The 22,214-nt window shown below is 39.6% G+C and overlaps 2 gene segments (V, D, J or C) and 1 further gene, besides 4 other annotated features; 2 read left to right on the top strand and 1 right to left on the bottom strand.

The window, feature by feature from the left end:
* IGK (immunoglobulin kappa locus) overlaps positions 1-22,214 on the bottom strand; it is a 1,378,008-nt gene that overhangs the window by 1,191,980 nt on the left and 163,814 nt on the right.
* Positions 2,691-2,745: a sequence feature (IGKV1-12 leader sequence).
* On the top strand, positions 2,691-3,165 carry IGKV1-12 (immunoglobulin kappa variable 1-12). The segment is given in 2 exon segments: positions 2,691-2,745; positions 2,870-3,165. Coding segments are annotated over 2 exon segments (351 nt in total), but the record flags the coding sequence as incomplete, so codon positions are not given.
* Positions 2,870-2,880: a sequence feature (IGKV1-12 leader sequence).
* Positions 15,705-15,753: a sequence feature (IGKV3-11 leader sequence).
* On the top strand, positions 15,705-16,218 carry IGKV3-11 (immunoglobulin kappa variable 3-11). The segment is given in 2 exon segments: positions 15,705-15,753; positions 15,923-16,218. Coding segments are annotated over 2 exon segments (345 nt in total), but the record flags the coding sequence as incomplete, so codon positions are not given.
* Positions 15,923-15,931: a sequence feature (IGKV3-11 leader sequence).

Below are 22,214 nucleotides of genomic sequence, written 5' to 3'. Positions count from 1 at the left end.
GCTACAAAGCGTCTGTTTTGTCAGCCCAAAGATCTCTGTTGTAATGACAATGTTGGTCAGTTGTGTCTGAACTCCAAAGTATAATGAGGCACATCTAAACCCACCTGCCAGTCATGGCCTAACCTAGTTTTTCAAATTTCTTTGAAGTGCTCTTTACAAAAGAGGAGTCCATTCAGCAGGTTGGTGGCTTACAACTTAATTTTTGGTTTTAACACACAGAAAAACAAAATCAGTTCACAAATTGAATGTAAAACAGATTGGTAAAAAAAAAAAAAAAAATTAAGTGCCTCCTGAATATTCCTACATGTCAAAGAAAAAGAAATTATCAGAATTCAGATGAGAAATACCCCTCTTACAAAAGATTAACAATTTTTTTTTTTAACTATCTTAGTTTGGGTCCACCCTCAATGAGGATCCCTGTTTAGGCAGCAAATTTACACTGGGAGGAAAGGAGGAAAGTGAGGAAGAGAACAGAAGATGAATGGAAAAAGACACATCAACAACCTACCTGACTCAGGATAACCAAAGATCAACCACATGTGGAAACATGGACTAAGTTCCTCTGGGCTATTCCACCTGAGAGATGAGGAAGCTGGGGTATGTATACACCTCATCGTGTCCTCACTGATTGTGCGCTGTCTCTCTTGTTCTATTTCAAGCTGCTATAACAGATTCATTGTCACTATGTAATTCATAAGGAACAGAAATTTATTTTCTTACAGTTCTGGAGAATGGGAAATTAAAGATCAAGACATGGGCAGGTTAAGGTCTGCTTTCTCCACTTTCAAGATGATGCCTGGAGTTAGAAATGCAAAAGTTCTACACAGGTTTTCATCTGCACCCATGGTCAGTGCCCAAACCTCCATGTTGTTCAAGGGTCAACTGCTCATTCAATCTGTAGCTGCATCTCTCTGGAACAGGATCTTGGCAGGTGGGTTGCAAGTAAAGGAATCCAGAAAATAACATCTCAAACTACGCTGCACTGGTATGATGATTATGTAAAACCAAAGACATTTAGAAAGCACCAAATGCACAAAAAGACTTTTCCTAAATGTCCCTTATCTGCATAATAGCAGATTCTCCAGAAGGAAACCAATTGTCAAAAAAATTCTTCCTGAGAATTTTTACATCAGGGAATATTAACACAAAAGAGGAATCTAAAATACAAGAGACTGAAGTTGATGCTTTATCCAGACAGGCTATGACCTGTTCTTTTGAGGATGCACTTCTGTTCTCATCTATTCTTTCCAGGTTGCCTACACTTCTCAATTCCCTCTTCCTTAGAAAAGAAATATAAACAACTGTATCCCATTGAGTTATCTGGGTAATCACCCTGCTATGATATTCTGCTGCACTTCAAATGAATTTTGTTTGTCTTTTCTCTTATTAATCTTTCTTTTGTCCATTCATTTTCAGCAAATATTTAGAGGACAAATGGAGCTTTCTTCCTTTCTCCCAATATAAGCAAGTTCCCTTAAAATTCAGGCAGCTTAAAAAACAGCAGGAAGGTTTGTGCACAGCCTGCAGCACTGTGATTTGGCTCCCCTAGTCAGGCATCAGTAAAATTTTGTGGAGTCCTAGGTGGCAGCCCACTGATGCTGATGTAGTTGGATCCACTTTCCCTGCTACTGAGTCAGGCTGGGACATTTTTGGGCACATTAGAGATATGAGATATAACGAGTGCAAATCCCTGTCCAGTTTCATCTGGATCCAAGTGATTTCTCCATGTACATAGGCAACTGCTTGATAAGAGATTCAGTGTCTCTTTCCTAAAGCAGTTAACAGGGAGGCTGTTGCCTGGGTCAGGATGATTTCCCCAATCACTGATAAAAAGTAAAAGAGGAAAGTGTCATTGATGGTGCATGGCAGGGACATGCTCCATGCAGTGGTCACCCTCAGTAAGAGAGATGAACTTTGGGAAATAATACTGAATGGCAGAAAAGAAGGTAGACTATGAAGGTGCCCAAAACAAGAATAAGGTGCAACCCATTTAGTGTCTGAGTACTATAGAGACCTGTCGCTCTTGATAATTGTGGATCTGTGACTGCTGCATGCATCGAGAAAACACGGTATCATCTTTGTGTATCTATAGTACATAGTTTGATCTCATACTGGTAAGAACAATGGCATAACACCATTACCTGATACTTACAAATGTATGTACCATCATGTCAATAAATTTTATTTTTAATTTTTTTACATAGGAACAATGTTAAACTCACAGAAATGTTGCATGTATACGACAAATACCCCCTTCCCTAGCCGGAATCATATAAGAGTCTTTTGAAGACTTGAGAATTGTACCGTCTAACATTTTACTATGTGTTTCCTACAAACAACAATATTCTCCTAAATAATCCCCATACACCAATGAAATACATTAGTCCATCAACTCCTGAGGAATATTTCAAATCGTCAAAAAGAAACCAAAAAATGTTACTCACAACAAAATAGTTCCCAGTAGAAACACATTCTCTGCAGACAAATTTGTGCTACCCTGGTCTTACCTGGGACACCTGGGGACACTGAGCTGGTGCTGAGTTACTGAGATGAGCCAGCCCTGCAGCTGCGCCCAGCCTGCCCCATCCCCTGCTCATTTGCATGTTCCCAGAGCACAGTCTCCTGACCTGAAGACTTATTAACAGGCTGATCACACCCTGTGCAGGAGTCAGACCCAGTCAGGACACAGCATGGACATGAGGGTCCCCGCTCAGCTCCTGGGGCTCCTGCTGCTCTGGTTCCCAGGTAAGAAAGGAGAACACTAGGATTATACTCGGTCAGTGTGCTGAGTACTGCTTTACTATTCAGGGAACTTCTCTTACAGCATGATTAATTGTGTGGACATTTGTTTTTATGTTTCCAATCTCAGGTTCCAGATGCGACATCCAGATGACCCAGTCTCCATCTTCCGTGTCTGCATCTGTAGGAGACAGAGTCACCATCACTTGTCGGGCGAGTCAGGGTATTAGCAGCTGGTTAGCCTGGTATCAGCAGAAACCAGGGAAAGCCCCTAAGCTCCTGATCTATGCTGCATCCAGTTTGCAAAGTGGGGTCCCATCAAGGTTCAGCGGCAGTGGATCTGGGACAGATTTCACTCTCACCATCAGCAGCCTGCAGCCTGAAGATTTTGCAACTTACTATTGTCAACAGGCTAACAGTTTCCCTCCCACAGTGTTACCAACCCGAACATAAACCCCCAGGGAAGCAGATGTGTGAAGCTGGGCTGCCCCAGCTGCTCCTCCTGATGCCTCCATTGGCTGAGAGTGTTGCTCAGATGCAGCCACACTCTGATGGTGTTGGTAGAGGGGTACGTGAAATCGCCTCTGCACCCTAATTCTTTTCTCTTTCTCAGCCCCAACTGCACAGACATAGCAATGCATCTCCTGATTTGATAAATACAGAGATCATGACACTTGAGGAGTCTAGTTTATGGCTTCAGCTTGAATTCATATAACACAGAAGAAGCCACTATAGATATTCTAAGCAGGAATTGTCTTAATACAGAGAATTAAAGTAAACTACTAAAGTCAAAATAAAATGTAGAGATGAATCTCTAAATTTAAGTTTTATTTGCAAAGAAATATTTGCCAGGTGGGGCATACAGGAAAACTCAGTGGTCTTCAAGATATTGGAAGAACGAAGAGAAAATTAGCATTTTATGAAAAAGGGAAAATGTTACCTGTGGCTCTTTGAGAAAGTTCATTGGCACTAGGAAGGGTTGGGAGCTGGCAAGCTCAGACTGGTAAGCAGTGGTGGACAAAATGAATCCTAGAATTATATCAAGTTATCTCAGAAGTTGTGGACAAATTTGATTTCAGGTTACAATAAGCCAAAGCAGTGAAGGTTGCAGAGAATTTTGTTACTGAAATGCCAGGGATTCAGTGAAGACTCTGCAGCTTACCCCACAGAAAGCCAATCACTAAGACAACAAGCATTGCCAAGGAACAGGCTTTAATCAGGTGCTGCAGCCTAGGAGATGTGATACCATTCTCAAATGTATCTCCCTGACCAACTGAAATTAGGAGTTTATATAGCAGGGAAGAAATGTGGGAAAACAGGAATTAGGGAGGGGTAAGGAAGATAATTTGGTCAACAGGAAGCAGGAGGTCAGTGAGGCAATCATAATGGGTGAAGGTTCTGATGTCTCACTGTCCCGATTCAGTGATATGTAAGTTTCAGCTCCTTGATAGTATCTGGGAGGCCTGTTCATTGGTTTACTGAAAAAACAAACAAACAAAAAAAAACTCAGATAAGACAGATGTAACTATCTTGAGTTTTAAGACTGGGGGAGTCAATTTCTATGTTTATACAAAAAAACATAAACATTAGTTCCATGGGATAATAGGGCCTATTTCAATTGCATTCTAGAAACAATATTTTGCACCCTGAGTGCCTTTCCCCACTGGTTTCTTTGCTCTGTTGGGTATGACAAGAATGACCAAATTCCTAAGATTAAGTTTCCCACTACAACCTTTCAAAGCCAAGGATATAGTAGTCATGAAAGCTGATATTAGAAGCAGGAATCTCTGATCCTCCCTCAGGCAACAGAATGCATCTTCCTCTGAAGTATGGGCTTTCTAACCATATGGTCCTCAGTCCTGTCTGGAAGCTTAGGGGTGGGGGTGCTGATGCTCTCAGCTTCCTACAGCATCTTTTCAGGTGTTTCTCTAGTCCTCATGTCTGTCCCTGTGTCTGTCTTAGGTACCAATGGAGAATATTGAGTCATCCTTTTCGGACTTCCAAATCTCATGGGAGGACTTCTTATTGGGCAACTCTATAAGAAACAAGAGAGACAAAATGAGAATTTATGTAAGTTAAAATGATTTTCCCCCATGAGGCCATTTAAATAAATTATATTTAAAGCCACATGTTGAAAACGCATCCAGCTTTATTTTCTTATTAATGCAAATTTACATTTGCAAATATTTTCAATATTGTAAAGGTTGAAAACATAATTATTTGTCCATGGAATGATCAAACACCTCTATAATTAAATGGAGTAAACATTTTCTTAAAAATTTGTACTCACTGAAATAAAGCAATATATTTGAAATGTGTGAAGCTATGTTAGAAATTATTGGACTTAAACTCAACTGTGCAGTTTGGTTTGGGATGCTGTTCACTCTTGTGACCTGCCAGAAGAATCTTGAGTCATGGGTAGTCACTGCTGTTCAGCCTTGTCCTCAGACAGTTGATATGTGTAGGCTGAAGACAAGCTCAGTGCCATGCAGAGAAACCACTCACCTGAACCCTTCCTTGATCAGCCAGATTACTGTGAACGTGAGCATCTATGAACATGAAAACAAATGTTTACTATTTTCTGTCACTGAGTTGTGTATTTAGCCAGTTACCAATCATTAATGCATAAAAGCTTCCTGATACAGTATTTACACCTCTACCTATATATACACACATGTATTTTTTCTTAAATTAGTGGCATAAATGTAAATATTTAGTAATCAAATTATAAACTTAGAAAATTAATGACAAAATTAAAACTAATATTTCAATAAAAAATTAAAATTTACCATATTTATGGGAAAATGTGCATACATGTATGTAAGATACATACAAGTCAATATATTATTTGATAAAATGTTGGCTATATATATAGTACTCATACTTAAGTGTGTTAATTCTATTATATATGCAATATATGCCTATTTGTAAAATTATTATCTAAATTGAATACATTTAAATAATTTTTGTTACATTCCATAAAAAATTGTATTCTGGACCACACATAGTTCATACTCTTGCTATGGAAAATTTATTTGTAGCCTTTATTTTTAAAACTCTACCAAATGATTGTCCTTGTCCGAAAATATTTTCCAACCCAGTAGAGCTCCAAGGGTAGGACTAGAAGAAATTTTGACTAATGTTGAATATTAATCATTGCATCCTATGAAAGTCTCCATTATGTTCATGCCCACAATGATGATATGCCAAATAGAGTTCTCACAACAATGGATGCTGGATGGAGTCACATCAGTGCCATTGTCAAGGAAGCCCTGGAAATGTAAAAATCAAAACAGTGGGTAAACTGCAAGGCCTATGTCTGATGATCACATTGCAAAGAGAATAACATTTTAATAATATTGGCTGTTGGTTTTGACAGATCATCAGGCCTTAAAAGAAATGCAACAGGATGATTACAGACAAAGTCATTGTGGAAGAGCTATGACTAGATGTTTTTAAAATGAGCCATAATCCAAAAAAAAAAATGCTTTCCAAGTGGATGCTAATCGAAATGCCATTAATGAGCAGGGGCTTTTAATAATGAGAATGATTCAACACATGGACTTCAGTCAGTCATCTTTCCCAGCTTTCCCTGGGAGTCTCATGAACCAATGTTATGGAGGTCTCTGTGGGGACTCAATAATTTGAGTTTCCCCCAACCGAGATTTAGAGTGCTACTGGCTCTTCTGAACACCTAATTTGCCAAGAAGAATGACCCCTCCTGAACCCTTCACATTGTATCACACATCAGGGCTCAGACTAACATCTGATGTCAGGTGATTCTACTGTCACTGGGTGCACCAGACTCAGATTTTGGACACAAAATTTCCTGAAGCAGCCAACAGTTGTGCCTCTTTTGAATGGCAGCTCCTTGCTTGCTGTAGGAAACTGATAGGGGCTGAGTATCTCAGAGCTAGAGCACCAGGCAGGATGCTGCGACCTTAACTAACCATTCTCACTTTGGTACCTACAAACACAATCAATAAAACTGGACAGGCCCAACAGATCCAAATCATTAAGTGGAAATGATACAGTCAGAATCAGCCCTAACCAGGATCCCACAGGACCCATGTGCCCCATGAATAAATGGCAAGCTTGCTAGAAGGGAACAAATGGCCCATAGGGGACAATTTAGCTTCTCCTTTGGCCACATAGAGCCAAAGATTCAGAGACATGCCTGTGTCAGTATGGCATGGGGCCCTGATGATTGTACAAAACACATGCCAGTGGATCCACTGGGTGCAGCCACCATCCAGCCAGGGGATGGCATCTTTTGACTGACACTGAACATGGTCATTCTGCCCAATGGGACAAACTACATGAAATGATAGTAGCCATGCAGGCTGCCCCCAACACTATATTTTGCTCCATTTCCACTAAATCATGGGCCATTGCCAACAGCCCAGCTGTCTGGTCAGGAAAATAGCAACTGAGTGACTGAACTATTAAAGGATCTCATGAGTGGAGAAAAGGACTATGGCAATAGCTTGCTTCCTGGACAGCTAAATATATGTCACTCTATTAGATGCTGGGGCTACCATGGCCACCCTTGAGAGGAATTTATGTCATGTTTTTGGATATTCCATGAGACTTCACTCTGACCAAGAAACAGCCTCACTGCCCAATCAACATAACAATGGGCACACTCTCATGGAAACAAATGGACTTTCCATGCAATTACCAACACCCAACACTGGCTGCTGTACCTGGATAAACACCTCAGATATCCTAGAAATACAAGTAGGGGTGATCATAAAGCAGGCTCACTGGCTGCAGACAATAGGACATCAAAAGATCCCCCTTTCACCTCTTAACATCTTAGTCACTGCTTGGGGAGTTTTATCCTCCTACCAGTGGTACTAGCTTTTCATGGCCCAGTGAAATGTACTCTCACTATGGCTTCATAATCTGCATTGAGATTGTGTAAGTCAAGGTGCTTCATCAATCTGAAAAGATAAACCTCTGCCTCCAGTTCAGGGGAAGTTGGTGGGCATATGAAGTATGCTAGCTTTGCTAAGGGGGATGAGATAACTGCAAGACCGTTCTGCAATGACCCTGGACTGACTTAGTTCTCTCCACTTTCTTGCTTATTTTAAGAGTTCTCAAGTACAATTGCAGAACGTGCTGGAATTGTAACATCCTGAGATAGACAGGAACTGAGCAGAACAACCTACCTGTCCTCTATACCAGTTTCCCATAGAATAGAATGTCCATTAGCACTTCAGCCCTGTGTGTCTTTTTACCCCAGGATACAAAACCCAGAGTGGCTGCTTTCCTGAGTTCCTGCACTGTGGTGTATGTGGGGTACACATAGTCAACTCCATCAGCTCCACATAGCTTTCCTGTGCCTTGGGGGACTGACCCATAATGAGTCCAAGAATTTTGTGTTCCCTTGCTGCTTATCTGTAATAATAAACCCACTTCATGTAACTTGCTGTGGGGGGTGTTCTCTTCCCCCACGCTCAAGTACGTTGGTAACCAGTGCACAGCGAAGTTGCTTCAAACATGTCATTGACATAAAGACAGAACTGCAATGGAGGTTGCTGGAGGTAGGGATAGAGAAAATGGGTGGAGTATTGTTTAAGGGGTATACATATTAATTTTTATAAGATGAAAAGATTTTTACTGATTATGTCAGTAATAATGGCAGAACATGTGAATATACTTAATGCCACTTCTCTGCACTCTCAAGTATGGTTAAGATAGACAATCTTATATTCTCTGTATTTACTATAGTTAAATAACTAACGTCTTTATTATAGTATTGTTAGCTCAGAAGACATTGTTTTATTTTCTACTTTTCTGAGCAAATGTTCATAAATAATCACTTTGTGATGACATTGTTCACAAATTGTGTGTGTGTGTGTGTGTGTGTGTGTGTTGTAGACATGGGGTCTCCCTATGTTGCCCAGGCTTGCATCAAATTCTTGGCCTTACATGATCCTGATCCTTTCTCCTTGGTCACTGAAAGTGCTGAGATTACAGGTGTGAGCCCGAGCACCTGGCCAGAAGAAACAGTTTATAAGACATTTCATAGGGAACTTCTTCAAAACGTATATTTCATTGCAGCCACCTCCAAAGCCAATCTCCTAAGCCATGTTTCTGTACACAAGTGCACTTCTCCCTCTGTGATGTCACATCCCCTCAGCATGAAGTCACACAGACACATAGGAGAACAAGGCAAGGAGTCAACCCAACTTTATGAGTGGAAATCACTGCAAAGATCTGGCATTAATAGGGTTTAGGTGTTGCAGCACTTCTCCACTAGCAAAACACTCTGATTTGTCTTCCTGGATTGTTTTCTCAAAGGTTTCCTAATATTTAATGCTAAAGCTGAGATTAGAAGCTTTTTATCCTGAGTCTAATTGAATGCTATTTCACTCAAAATGTATTGCCTTATGGAGTATGATAATAAATATTGAATAATGCCTGTTACTACTACCAGCAGTCCCTTTAGATCTCCTCTTATCATCCTAAATATCATGACTTAGGAAAAGTGTTTGAAAGGGGGTTTAGACAATATTGATCCTGTTTTCAATATCCTAATACAAGTCAAGCACCCATAAAAGTCAAGAGAATTGTAAGGAAAACATGACTTAATGATGATTAGCCATTCTGGTCACTGTTGAGTGAAGATTAAGAAAAATTCTTAAAAACAAGTAGCTGAAACATTGAGAACACTCATCAATTCTGGGCTGAGATGTAAAATGGTACAACTACTTTGGAAAACAGTTTGGTGGAGTATTAAACACTTGCTGTAAGACCCAGTAACTGCACTCCTGGGTATTTGCCTAAAAGAAATAAAGAAATATTCATGCAAAGCCATGTATAATACCATTCTTGGTAGCTTTATCCATAATAGCCCAAAGTGGAAACAACCCACATATCTATCAGCAGGTGGTGGGATACATTGTGAAATTACTACACAGTTAAATAGTACCCAAAAGTGAAGAGTAACACATCATGAGGACACAGGGCGACATGAATGAGCCTAGGAAACAATTATGCTGCATGAAAGTCACCAGCCACAAAAGAACACGTGCTATATTCCATTTATGTAAAATTCTTAAAAAGAAAGTGAAATCTATACTAACAATAAGCTGACCAAGGATGGTCTGTTCTGTGAGGTGGAAAGCAAGTTGATTCCTGAAGAGCAGGACAAAACTTTTTGGAGTTATAGAAATGTTGTGTGTATTGATTTTGGAGGCATTTACACGAGTGTACTTGTTCAACAGTACATTTAAAATCAGAGTATTTGATTGGAATCATTTTTTTTCAATAAAATTGGTTAATAGTGAATAGTGAGTAATTGCAAATCCAATTAAGTAATGTTGTCTTCACATCTTTTATTCTTGCAGTGTACTGAAAGCTACATGAGCCAAAAGTTATTTCTGGTAGATAATCTCAGCCTGACACTAAAGAACTGTGTATCTTCTAGCAAGAGCTCACTTTTCTAGGTATTTTTGGATTTTTCCAAGAATTTAAATGTGTTTCATAGGTTAAATCAAAATGGTAGGCTTTTAATACACATTTCTTATTTATATCAACTAAAAGTCTAAGTAATAAAAAGTTATTAAAAATTGGAAAATATTTAAATGCGAGGAAATATTTTTTAAGTTAGGGAAAGAGATCCAACATACCTTATAGTTCATATAAATTTTTCAGAAATTAAAATTACCTATCAAGAGTTCTTATCGTAAAAACTGTAACACTTTTTACAACGTGTGTTCACTAAATGTGTAGATACACAGATGGATTCCATTTTTATTTTTTCTTATGATTTTTGTGTCTATGTTCATAAGAGATACCAGCCTTTAATATCCTTTTTTTGTTATGTCCTCATTAATTTTTGGACTGGAGGACATTATGACCTCCTATAATAATTCTGAGTATTTTTTTTATTCCCTTGAAAGTTTGTGTAATTTTGATAAGTACCATGTCACTAACCACCAAATAAAATTTGGAGTTTTTTCTGGGTAACTTGTTATTACAGATTTCTTGTTACTTTTGAGGTAAGAGGTAGGCAGCACTTCACTCTGGACCAGATGTGAGGCTGGCCAAAACAGGAATAGGATTCTGAAAACACCTCTCCGTAAGACATACCCACCAGTACCATGACAGTTTACCATTGCCATAGCAACATCCAGAAGTCGCAGCGCCTTGCCATGGCAACACCTGGAAATTGCTGCCCTGCCATGGCAACACCGGGAAGTTGGGGCAACACGACCCATTTTCGAGCTATTTCTCGATAACCCACCCCTTAATTATCACATGATTAAAAGTGGGTATAAATGTGACTGTAAAACTGCACCTGGCTGCTACTCTTGGCCCTCTGCCTATGAATTATGCCTGCTCCACAGGCTTAGTCACAGAGCTGTAACACTGCTGCCCCATCAATAAAGCTGTTTTATTCAATCACCGGCTTACTCTAACGTTCTTTCCCGAGCAAATCCAAGAACTTGCCTTGCATCAGGATTAAGCCAGCCACTCAACTCTAGAGATGGTGAGAGGCAGCGTCTGATGTGGCAGTGAGACAGCAGAAACAGCAGAGAAAGCAAGACAACAAGAGACAGCAAGAGATGGGATTTTGTGAGAAGATGGACATAGCGGTCAGCAATGAGCAGGACAGCTATTGGAGAATTGGGAAGACAGAGATCAGTGAGAGAGGGTGAGACGGTGATCAGTGCTACAGCGATCAAAGCTACAGAGTTGCTAACATTGCAGAGCTGTTAACACTAGCCAAAGGCTGTTTTAAGAGCCATCATCTTTCCTGACAGGCGGTGGAGCCCTGGGGATGGGCAAGTGGCCACAGAGCCACTGCTTCATGCAGGCCAGCCGCTCCGTGCTCCAGTTCCCCGTAGGAGCCCAACCCACCCAAGCTGGGGAGCCTGGAGAGATTTTCACGCAGGCCCCACGTTAGAGACTGCTTGGCACCATTTTGGCTCCTGCACACCTGTAAGTGTCCCCTCTGCCCACCTGACCTATATTGGATGATCCAGGGAATAAGGCCTTTGACTCGATAGTCCATTTGAAGTCCTCCATAGCACACCTGACTACATCCTCCTTGGTCCTTCTCTTAGTCATTTCTCCTCTAATGCCATTTTATTTATCCATCAGCCATTTTATCTTATTTTCTGCCCTGATATATGTGTTTGCTTTGCAGTTTTGGCTTTGGCTCCCTGCTAATTGTGTTTGTGCAATTGTTTAAGGCAGGACACTTGGATGTAAGAATTCTCCTGTTCTGTTGGCCGTAAGAAGCCAGAGTCACATTGTTCTGTGGTCCCAATCAGGCCTTTGGGGCTCACTGTTGGCCACCCAACTGAGGCTCCAGGATTTTCTGCACTGGTCAGCCCCTGGATATTCCAGGGTTTCCTGGCATTTGGTGTGGGGACACTCATAGGCTGATACTCGGGTACTCTGGGTTTTCAGCATTTAGTATTTTTGGCCACTCCCTGGATGCTCCAGGGTTTTCAGCATTGACATTCCTCCTAGGATTGTGGATTGGAGGCTTACCTTATGAGAATCTTGGTTTGCCTTTTCTTGTTTTCTGCCCTAAAGTTACCATTTTTCATAATGGCATTTTGTTTTCTTGTTGTCACTTTATTTATGTTTTTTCTTCTACACTTTACTAAATGAAAATACTGCTTTAAGGCCGGGCACAGTGGCTCACACCTGTAATCCCAGCACTTTCGGAGGCTGAGGTGGGCAGATCGTTTGAGGTCAGGAGTTCAAGACCAGCCTGGCCAACATGGTGAAACCATGTCTCTACTAAAAATGCAAAAAAAAAAGGGCCATAAGTGGTGGTACACGCCTCTAATCCCAGCTACTTGGGAGGCTGAGTCACAAGAATTGCTTGAACCCAGGAGGTGAAGATTGCACCACTTTTGTCAAGTTAGTTGCCAAAAAGTTACTCATTTAGCCTCTCTTTATTTTTTTTACTCTAATAGGCTGTGTAATGACTTTCTCATTTCCATTTACAATATTATGTTTTGTGTCCTTTTTCTTTCCCTCTTCCTATACACCCTTCATCAAGTAGTCACGAGTTTCAATTCAATTCTTTCTTGGTGGTAGTATGGCTCATGAGAAATGCAGACTCTTCTGGGTTTAAGGCCATTCGTTATTTTTATATGTAATACCGTGGAACGTATTGTGACATAATCCTCTGCTTCACAAACTGATCACTGTCAAACATCATCTCCCAAACAATACAGAATTTTTCTGTTCCTCACTGGTATAATTCACATAGGAGTAGAAATCTCAAGTTTAAATTGTGGATTTGCACCTTACCACTTGCTGTATTCAAGAAGATGAATAATAGTAATACATCAGTAGGGCCGGGGCAGTGGCTCATGTTTGCAATCCCAGAACTTTGGGAGACCGAGGCGCGCAGATCACCAGAGGTCAGGAATTCGAGACCAGCCTGACCAACACGGCAAAACTCCGTCCCTACTAAAAATACAAAATTTAGCCAGGTGTGATGGCACACACCTGTAATCCCAGCTGCTTGGGAGGCTGAGGGAGGAGAATCGCTTGAACCTGGGAAACGGAGTGAGCCAAGATCATGCAACTGCACTCCAGCCTGGGTGACAGAGCAAGACTCCATCTCAACAACAACAACAACAAAATCAGTAGCTTTGAATGTTTTTATATTTATTTATTTATTTATTTATTTATTTATTTATTTTTGAGACAGAGTCTCGCTCTGTCGCCCAGGCTGGAGTGCAGTGGCGCGATCTCGCTCACTGCAAGCTCTGCCTCCCGGGTTCATGCCATTCTCCTGCCTCAGCCTCCCAAGTAGCTGGGACTACAGGTGCCCGCCAGCACGCCCAGCTAATTTTTTGTATTTTTAGTAGAGACGGTGTTTCACCTTGTTAGCCGGGATGGTCTCGATAGCTTTGAATTTTAAACATCTATTTGACAAGAAATTTACAGTTCCTTCTCTCTAAAATAATGTAATGATTCTCTCAGGAGTGAGCCTGGTTTGATGCCTCTCTCCCCAACACGATAGAAGTGTGGCACAAATCTTTGAAAAATTCAGTTTCCCCGTGGCAACAACAACTACCTGGGACTGAAAACTTCTTCCCTCGCTCTAGTCCTTTCTTCTACACCCACTTCCACCTCATCTGTGACTCATACAATACTTGTCAGGAAAGATTCTGGAAAAAGCAAAGAGACTTCCTTAGAGGTGTCAGAGATTCCTGTACCAGCATCTGTCCATCTCTAGAGGGGGTTGTGAGTATGAGGAAGAGCAGAGCTTGTCAATCTTCTACTTGCTTTCACTCCCACTGTATTTCCTAACAACAGCAACCAGAGCAACAGCCATATCATCACAGGACGAACCTCTCCTACTTCCAAGGCTTTTATTTCAGTAAATCTGCTCTACCTCTATCTCAGGCAGCTAGAAGTTTTGATACTCATACAAATACTACTGCAGCTTTCTGTTCATAATTGGAAAAGTAGACAAGACTCAGTGTAATGCAGGCATTCCTTATGCCAGTCAGCATTCAGTTTTTGGATCATCATTGCACACATATACCCACCATGTGTCTAATATATATGTAAAAATCCATGAAGCAAGAGTCATAATAGCTAGCATTTGATATTGTATTGTATTTTCCTCTTATATCATCTTCTCCTTTTCGTCCTTAAAAAAAATCTGTTCAAGTCAGTCTAAATTAATTATTGGATGATAAGTAGATAAAATCTTTTATTTGATAACACATTGACCCAATGAATATGTTTCTTTGCAAGACATAGTCCTCACTTCCAAGATAACAAGCCTGACAAAATTATACTGGAGCAAGTCCACAAGTAATGATGGTAGCTTTTCCTTATTGTCAGTCCTGGGGCAAAAATAAGACAAAAGATAACAAGGTAGACTAAAGATTATGTAAGAAAGAAGGAAAGCAGCAGGACATGGGAAACTTTCATAGGATAACATTTTGATAATGGATGATGAGAATTAATGCGTTAGACAGAGATGGGCGGGAATGATTGAAGGTCTGAGCATTTTAGCACAGATTAAGACCAAATCATTAGGATTTTAAGAGTTGTGTACAGTTAGTGAAGAAAAAGCCCTAGAATTTAATTTGACTGTTGATAAAACATTCTTGGATTAGATTGAAGACTCTTTTCTGTGCCAAGTAAGTATATTTATGATAATGATGATGACTGTAGTGCTAAATATTTAATCAATAAAAACAAAAATAATTGCCGCATACATAATGTCCTGAGTACTACTGTAAATGTTTTATCTTATTTTCTTTAAACTGTCTACAGCACTGTAAGGTAGGCACCAGTATTGTCACAGTTACACAGATATGGAAACTGAGACACAGGGAAGTTAAGTTAGTTGGTCAATTTCAAGCAATCGGCAAGCCATGGAGCATCTATGTCAGGGCTGCCAGGACATGTGACTGTAAACAGAAGTTTTAACTTTTTAACTCAAAGAGGGTATGTGTCTGGGTTAATGGAAAGTTTCAGGACCCTCAGAAAACATTACTAACAAGCAAATGAAAGGTGTATCTGGAAGATTAAGTTCTAACAGACTCCTCATTTCCATCGATCCAATAATGCACTTAGGGAGATGACTGGGCATATTGAGGATAGGAAGAGAGAAATGAAAACACAGCCTTTTATATTGTTCTTAACAGGCTTGTGCCAAACATCATCTGGGTGAATTTAGGTGATTGAGGAGAAGAAAGACATAGGAATGAAATTCTCTGAGCACAAGGGAGAAGTTCTACACTCAGACTGAGCCAACAGACTTTTCTGGCCTGACAACCAGGGTGGCGCAGGATGCTCAGTGCAGAGAGGAAGAAGCAGGTGGTCTCTGCAGCTGGAAGCTCAGCTCCCACCCAGCTGCTTTGCATGTCCCTCCCAGCTGCCCTACCTTCCAGAGCCCATATCAATGCCTGTGTCAGAGCCCTGGGGAGGAACTGCTCAGTTAGGACCCAGAGGGAACCATGGAAGCCCCAGCTCAGCTTCTCTTCCTCCTGCTACTCTGGCTCCCAGGTGAGGGGAACATGAGGTGGTTTTGCACATTAGTGAAAACTCTTGCCACCTCTGCTCAGCAAGAAATATAATTAAAATTCAAAGTATATCAACAATTTTGGCTCTACTCAAAGACAGTTGGTTTGATCTTGATTACATGAGTGCATTTCTGTTTTATTTCCAATTTCAGATACCACCGGAGAAATTGTGTTGACACAGTCTCCAGCCACCCTGTCTTTGTCTCCAGGGGAAAGAGCCACCCTCTCCTGCAGGGCCAGTCAGAGTGTTAGCAGCTACTTAGCCTGGTACCAACAGAAACCTGGCCAGGCTCCCAGGCTCCTCATCTATGATGCATCCAACAGGGCCACTGGCATCCCAGCCAGGTTCAGTGGCAGTGGGTCTGGGACAGACTTCACTCTCACCATCAGCAGCCTAGAGCCTGAAGATTTTGCAGTTTATTACTGTCAGCAGCGTAGCAACTGGCCTCCCACAGTGATTCCACATGAAACAAAAACCCCAACAAGACCATCAGTGTTTACTAGATTATTATACCAGCTGCTTCCTTTACAGACAGCTAGTGGGGTGGCCACTCAGTGTTAGCATCTCAGCTCTATTTGGCCATTTTGGAGTTCAAGTTGTCAAGTCCAAAATTACTTATGTTAGTCCATTGCATCGTACCATTTCACCGTGGCTATTATGTTCAACTAAATGCATTTTAGAAGGCATCTCTGTTTATGGCATCACAAAGAGTTTAATAAATCTTCGGTGCAAAAATAAACAACAAACACACATTTAAATATAAAGCTGAAGTATCAAAACTATTTCAGCACTCTGAAAATTGGTGAAGTATAAAATAATTAAGGATGCATATTCTTTATAGAAAAAAAAAGTACCAGTGCTTTGAGTAAGGACAGAAAATGTCTGTAGCCTTTTGCCTGTGACAGCAGCCTTCTACCCCCAGCTCAATCAGCATGAATTACAGAACTGAAGTTTTACCAATATGAGCGTAGCAAAAAAAACTAGCAGCTTGCTGCCAAAGTGGGTGGACTTGAGTAAAGCCAAGGAGTGGAAAAAAAATTATTCAGTGTTTCCAGCTAAACATGCAGAACTCCATAGGAAATGAACAGAAAAATCTCACAGCTTTACAAGTCCAAGATGATGACCTGTTTGAGGCAAGTAGTACATCTGCTGATAGTAAATAGCAGATTCCTGGATGAGATAGACCCATATTGCTGAAATAATCTCTGCACACATTCCTAGTGACCTAGAAGATATAGATATGAGTGATGAGAACAAGGAGTTTCCGGTGCAAAGTAAAACCAGAAGGATTCAAGAACTAGCTGCATTTTGCATGCAGTTTGCTTTTTAAACTACACACAGATGGGTTGACAGAAGATAGATTTATAACCTCTAGATATTTAAGCAAAACGTCTCAAATCATTGGTGACCACTTCACTATGCAGATACATGTGCAGTTCCTATAAATTCAAACTAAATATTAATATTAAGAATAAAAGGAAGCAGTGATATCAGTGGTCAAACACCACGTGAGATAGATTTTTCAATATCATGCAATGAACATGCATTTAATACATCTAATCCACTTAACATTATAGCTCAGCCTATCCTATCCTAAATGTGCTGAAAACACTTACATTAGCTTACACTTGGGCGACATTATCTTACACAAAGCTTATCTTCCAATAAAGTGTTGAATGCCTCATGTCATTTATTGAATACTATATTGAAAGAGAAAATAGAATAGTTGTATAAATACTAGAATTTCTATTTCTACTTGAATGCATATCACATTCATACCATCTGAAAGTCAAAAAGTTATAACTCCAAGCATCATAAGTCAGGTACTATCAGTAAGTTCACCCAAGTAACTAAGAAGAAAATTAAAAAATGATCAGAAAAACAAAACAAATTCCAGGCCTGACGTGGTGGCTCAAGCCTGTAATCCCAGTACTTTGGGAGGCTGAGGCAGAAGGATCACTGGATGCCAGGAGTTCGAGACCAGGCTGGGTGGGCAAAATATCTTACTATTTAAAAAAAAAAAAATAGCAGAGAGTAATGGCATGCCCCTATAGTCCCAGCTACTCAGGTGGATGAAGCTGGAGAACCACTGGACCCCAAGAGGTTGAGGCTGCAGCAAGCTATGATCACACCACCATACTCCAGCCTGGGTGAAAGAGTAAGACCCTATTTCTAAAAAATTAAAATTAAAATTAAAAAACCCATAATCTAAAGAGAGGTACTGTATTATCAAAAATGTAAAATTGTCAGTTTAACAGCTCCTGGGAAAAAAACTAGAAGAATGACCAATATTAAAGGAACAAAAATAAAGCAACTACAATAATGACAACAGAAAATAGTCAACGAAAGCTGATTCTAACTTGCCGTAATTATCGGATTTAGTAAAGACTACAAAGATTTTCAAATAATTATTTTTAAAACTATGATCATTGACATAAAAAAGAAAATATTAAGAAGATTTGGCAAGTAGGGCCTCAAGAAAAGATATGGAAAATATAAAAAATGACCAAATTGGAACTCTAGAAATGAAAAGTAAAATAATCCAATTTAAATACGTATTAGCTAGGTCTAATAGCAATTTGAGATGGCAGAATAATCAGTTAACTTGAAAATAAAGGAATAGAACTTATTGAGTCTAAATAAAATGTTTAAAAAAAAGGAGGAAGACGTCAGAGATTTATAGCTCAGAGTGAAGGATACCAACAAAAGTATAATGAGAGTCACAAAGGAGGAGAGACAGAGAAAGTGGCTGAAAAAAAAATCCTTGGAGAAATAATGACAAAAACTTTTCAAAAGTAATAAAAAATATTCTTAGATGAAAAAATTCAATAAAACCCTTTTAGATAATAGAAATTAATAACTGAACACATTATATTAAAATGTTGAAAGACAGAAAATCTTCACTGCATCAAGAATGAAAGGCCATTCGCCATTTTTAAATGTAGTACTGTGGAAAGTATTGTGACACAAGCCTCTGCTTCACAAACTGATCACTGTCAAACATCATCTCCCAACCAATACACAGAAACAACATATTGTTATTGGCTAAGTTTTCATTAGGACCAATAGAGATTAGAAGCAGTGAAATGACATACTTAGATGCTGAAAGGAGAAAAAAGTCACTAGGAATTCTATATCCAGTGAAAATACCTTCACATCTAAAGAAAAAGCAAAAAAAAATTTTCTTTGATAAAAAAGTACATTCATTCATAGCAGCTATGTCTTATAAGACATTTGAGAGAAAATCCTTCAGAATCCCAGGAAATGACATCAGACAGGACCTTGAGTCCACTGGAAGAAATGAAGGCCTCAAACATTGTAAGGAGCAATACCAAGGCTAAAAAGAGAAAAATACACTTAATGCTATTTATGTGAAGTTCAAGACAGGAAAACCTAAGTGATTGTGTTAGATGTCAGAATAACAGTTACTATGGCTGGGTGGGAGGGGCGAAAACTGACAAAGATTGTCCATGAGGGAAGCACAAGAGTATGTGAAATATTCTATCATTCCACCTGGACAATGAATTACACATAAACTTTATTCAGTTGCACATTGAAGATTTGTGCACTTTACCCTGGCTACTTTATCAATTAAAATAAAACTTAAAAAAAACAAACCTAGACTCTTTCCCACTTACCAGTAATCACAGCCAAGAGCCCAGACTAATTTGAAATATTATTATTATCAACACTTCTTTACCCTATCTTGACACTTACACTTCTTATTCAGCTACAGTTTCACAGCTCCACCTCTGGCCCATTCTTTTGGAAGACCCCATAGCCATAGGTCAGGTAACAACTATAGAAGATGCATAAATGACAAGATTGATGAGTATTTAGCAGAAAAAAACTTGTATGTATCACAGACTGTCCTATGCAGAGTGTACAATACATGTGAGTAGAGTCCCTCTAGCACAGAAAAGAAGTGTGAACTAGACCTTCAGAATATGGTCCAGTTTTTAGAGTTCATCAGATCATCAGATGAACACAGATCAAGGTGTCCTCTCATCTGGGTATGAGAAAGTGAAATGACTGCAGGTTCCCACCAGATCAGTGGCCCGTGGCTTTAGAGACATGTACATGAAACTCACATTTCTTCATATCCACAGTCACTTCCTGGCTTCAGCCATAGGAATGACGGCCTGGCTTTCCAGTTATTTAGGAACTCTGCACACAGGCTGTCAGTTACTAAAATGAAAATTAAAAACAATGACTTTGGTTAAATATGTAACAGTAGTTACATTCTGTAGGGAAAAATGAGCAGAGGGAATATATTTTAATATCAAATGAAAAGTCACAACCTTGTGACTCCTTTCTTTTCCCATATGATTCATTACGCTTGTGCTGAAACTTCAGACTATCAAATGAGCCCCATATGTTCATCCCTAAAGCTTTGTCCTTGTCCAACCTGAACCCACATTTGGGCCATCCACTGGCATCCAAGTACACTTGTGAGATGATCACTGTCCAGACAGGATTGCTGGGGTGACTCAACAGGCAGCTCCATGCTGAGTCTCCCCTTGAACTCCCAGCATCACTAACCCTGCAGGAGTGTCCCCTTGTCCTCCACAGCACCCAGAGCACAGCCTGCCCTGCCATGATTTCACTGCCCAACTCAAAACCTCATCATAGATTCCGCCGGCTCAGAGACAAAGTCAGGTCCCAGGCAGAGGCAGGTGTGGGGGCCTAAGAAAAACCATTTTTTCATCAATTTTCCTATTAGGAATTCCCAGGAATTTATAAGCTGAATTTCTGTTCATAGTTACCATCTTAAAAAATAAAAGCTATTTGTATTGTGAGAAACATGAAACATGGAAAATAATTAAATCTCACAAGAGCACCATCTAGTCAGAGACTCCAAATTCAACTAATCCAATTCTGAGCTCCCTGCCTTATGGTCCATCTCCATGGTGTCTGTGTGCTCCACCCTTATCAAATATATGTTCAAATAATTATTTTAACCTATAATAAAAGACTTAAAAAGGAATTTGTAAAGACAATGATTCAACAAATAGAGGCTCTCAAACAGAGACAAAACTATGAAAACAGACCTACTGGGAATCCGAAAAATGAAAGGTACAACTCAATTGAAAAATGTATTAGATAGACTCAACAGCAATTTAACATGACGCGAGAGTCAGTGATCTGAAAAAGAAGTCAATAGAAATGACCTCATATAAAGAAGGGAAAAATTATAAAGAAGAATGAATAAAACCTCAGACATTATAGGTCCCTGTGAACAATACCAACAAATTTGTATTAGGAATCACAAAGGAGAAGACAGGAAGAGGCTAAAAACTGTGTTCTCATCTTTACGCCCATGTGTACCCCATGTTTAGCTCCCGCTTATAAGTGAGAACACGTGGTATTTGGTTTTTTGTTTCTGCATTAGTTCACTTAGGTAAATGACCTCCAGCTGCATCCAAGTTTCTGCAGGACCATGATTTTCTTCTTATTTATGGCTGCATAGGATTCCATGGTGTATCTATACACAGTTTTTTTTTTTATCCAATCCACGGTTGATGGGCACAATAGACACTGGGAACTACTAGAGGGGAGACAAAGGGAGGAAGGGCAGAGGCTGAAAAAATACCTATGGGGTACAGTGCTCACTACCTGTTTAATAAGTTCAGTCATACCCCAAATCCCAGCATCATGCAAAATAACTTTGTAACATATCTGTACATGTATGCTCTGATTTTAAAATAAAAATTGAAAAAGAAAAAAATGGAGAAATAATGAAAAACATTTTTTACAGTGATGAGACACCTTAATCTATACATGAAAGAAACTCAGTGAAACCCTTTTAGGATAAGCACAGTACAATTCATAACTATACACATTATAGTACCAGTGTTGAAAGACAAAGACCCAGAGAATTTGAAATGCATCACTAAAATACCGACTTACTTTATACTAAGAAGCAATATTAAAATCATTGGCTAAATTTTCACCATTACAAATGGAGGTGAGAAGACAGTGGAATGATATTTTTAAATACTGAGCCACAAATTCTCAGCCACAAATTCTATATCCAGAAAAACAATCGTTTAAATATAAAAGCAAGGTAGAAATATTCCTTCATACACAAAGATTAATTCATTAATAGCATATATGCCTTGTAAGAGATTCAAGAGAAAATTCTTCAGAATAACAGAGAATGACAGCAGACAGCAACTCAAATTGACAAGAAGGAACCAAGGCCTCAAAAAATGAAAAAAGTTAGAAAGAAGCTACAAAAAATGTTTACTTTACCTGATATAAAGATTAAGTCCAGGACTAAAACAATTATATGTCAGAATATCATTTACATTGATTGTGTTTTGAGCAGCAGTTTTTGACTGGGAAGGTGCATAATGAAAGCAGCGAGAGAATTGGAAACCTTCTGCGTTTCTATGTGGATCATGATATGAAATGATCTGGATCTTGACATTCATTTGCAC

This window comes from Homo sapiens, chromosome 2 (assembly GCF_000001405.40).
Source record: "Homo sapiens chromosome 2, GRCh38.p14 Primary Assembly".
In the NCBI taxonomy this organism is placed as follows: domain Eukaryota; kingdom Metazoa; phylum Chordata; class Mammalia; order Primates; family Hominidae; genus Homo; species Homo sapiens.
Note: the sequence above shows the minus strand (reverse complement) of the source record. Positions and strands in the feature narration are given on the sequence as shown.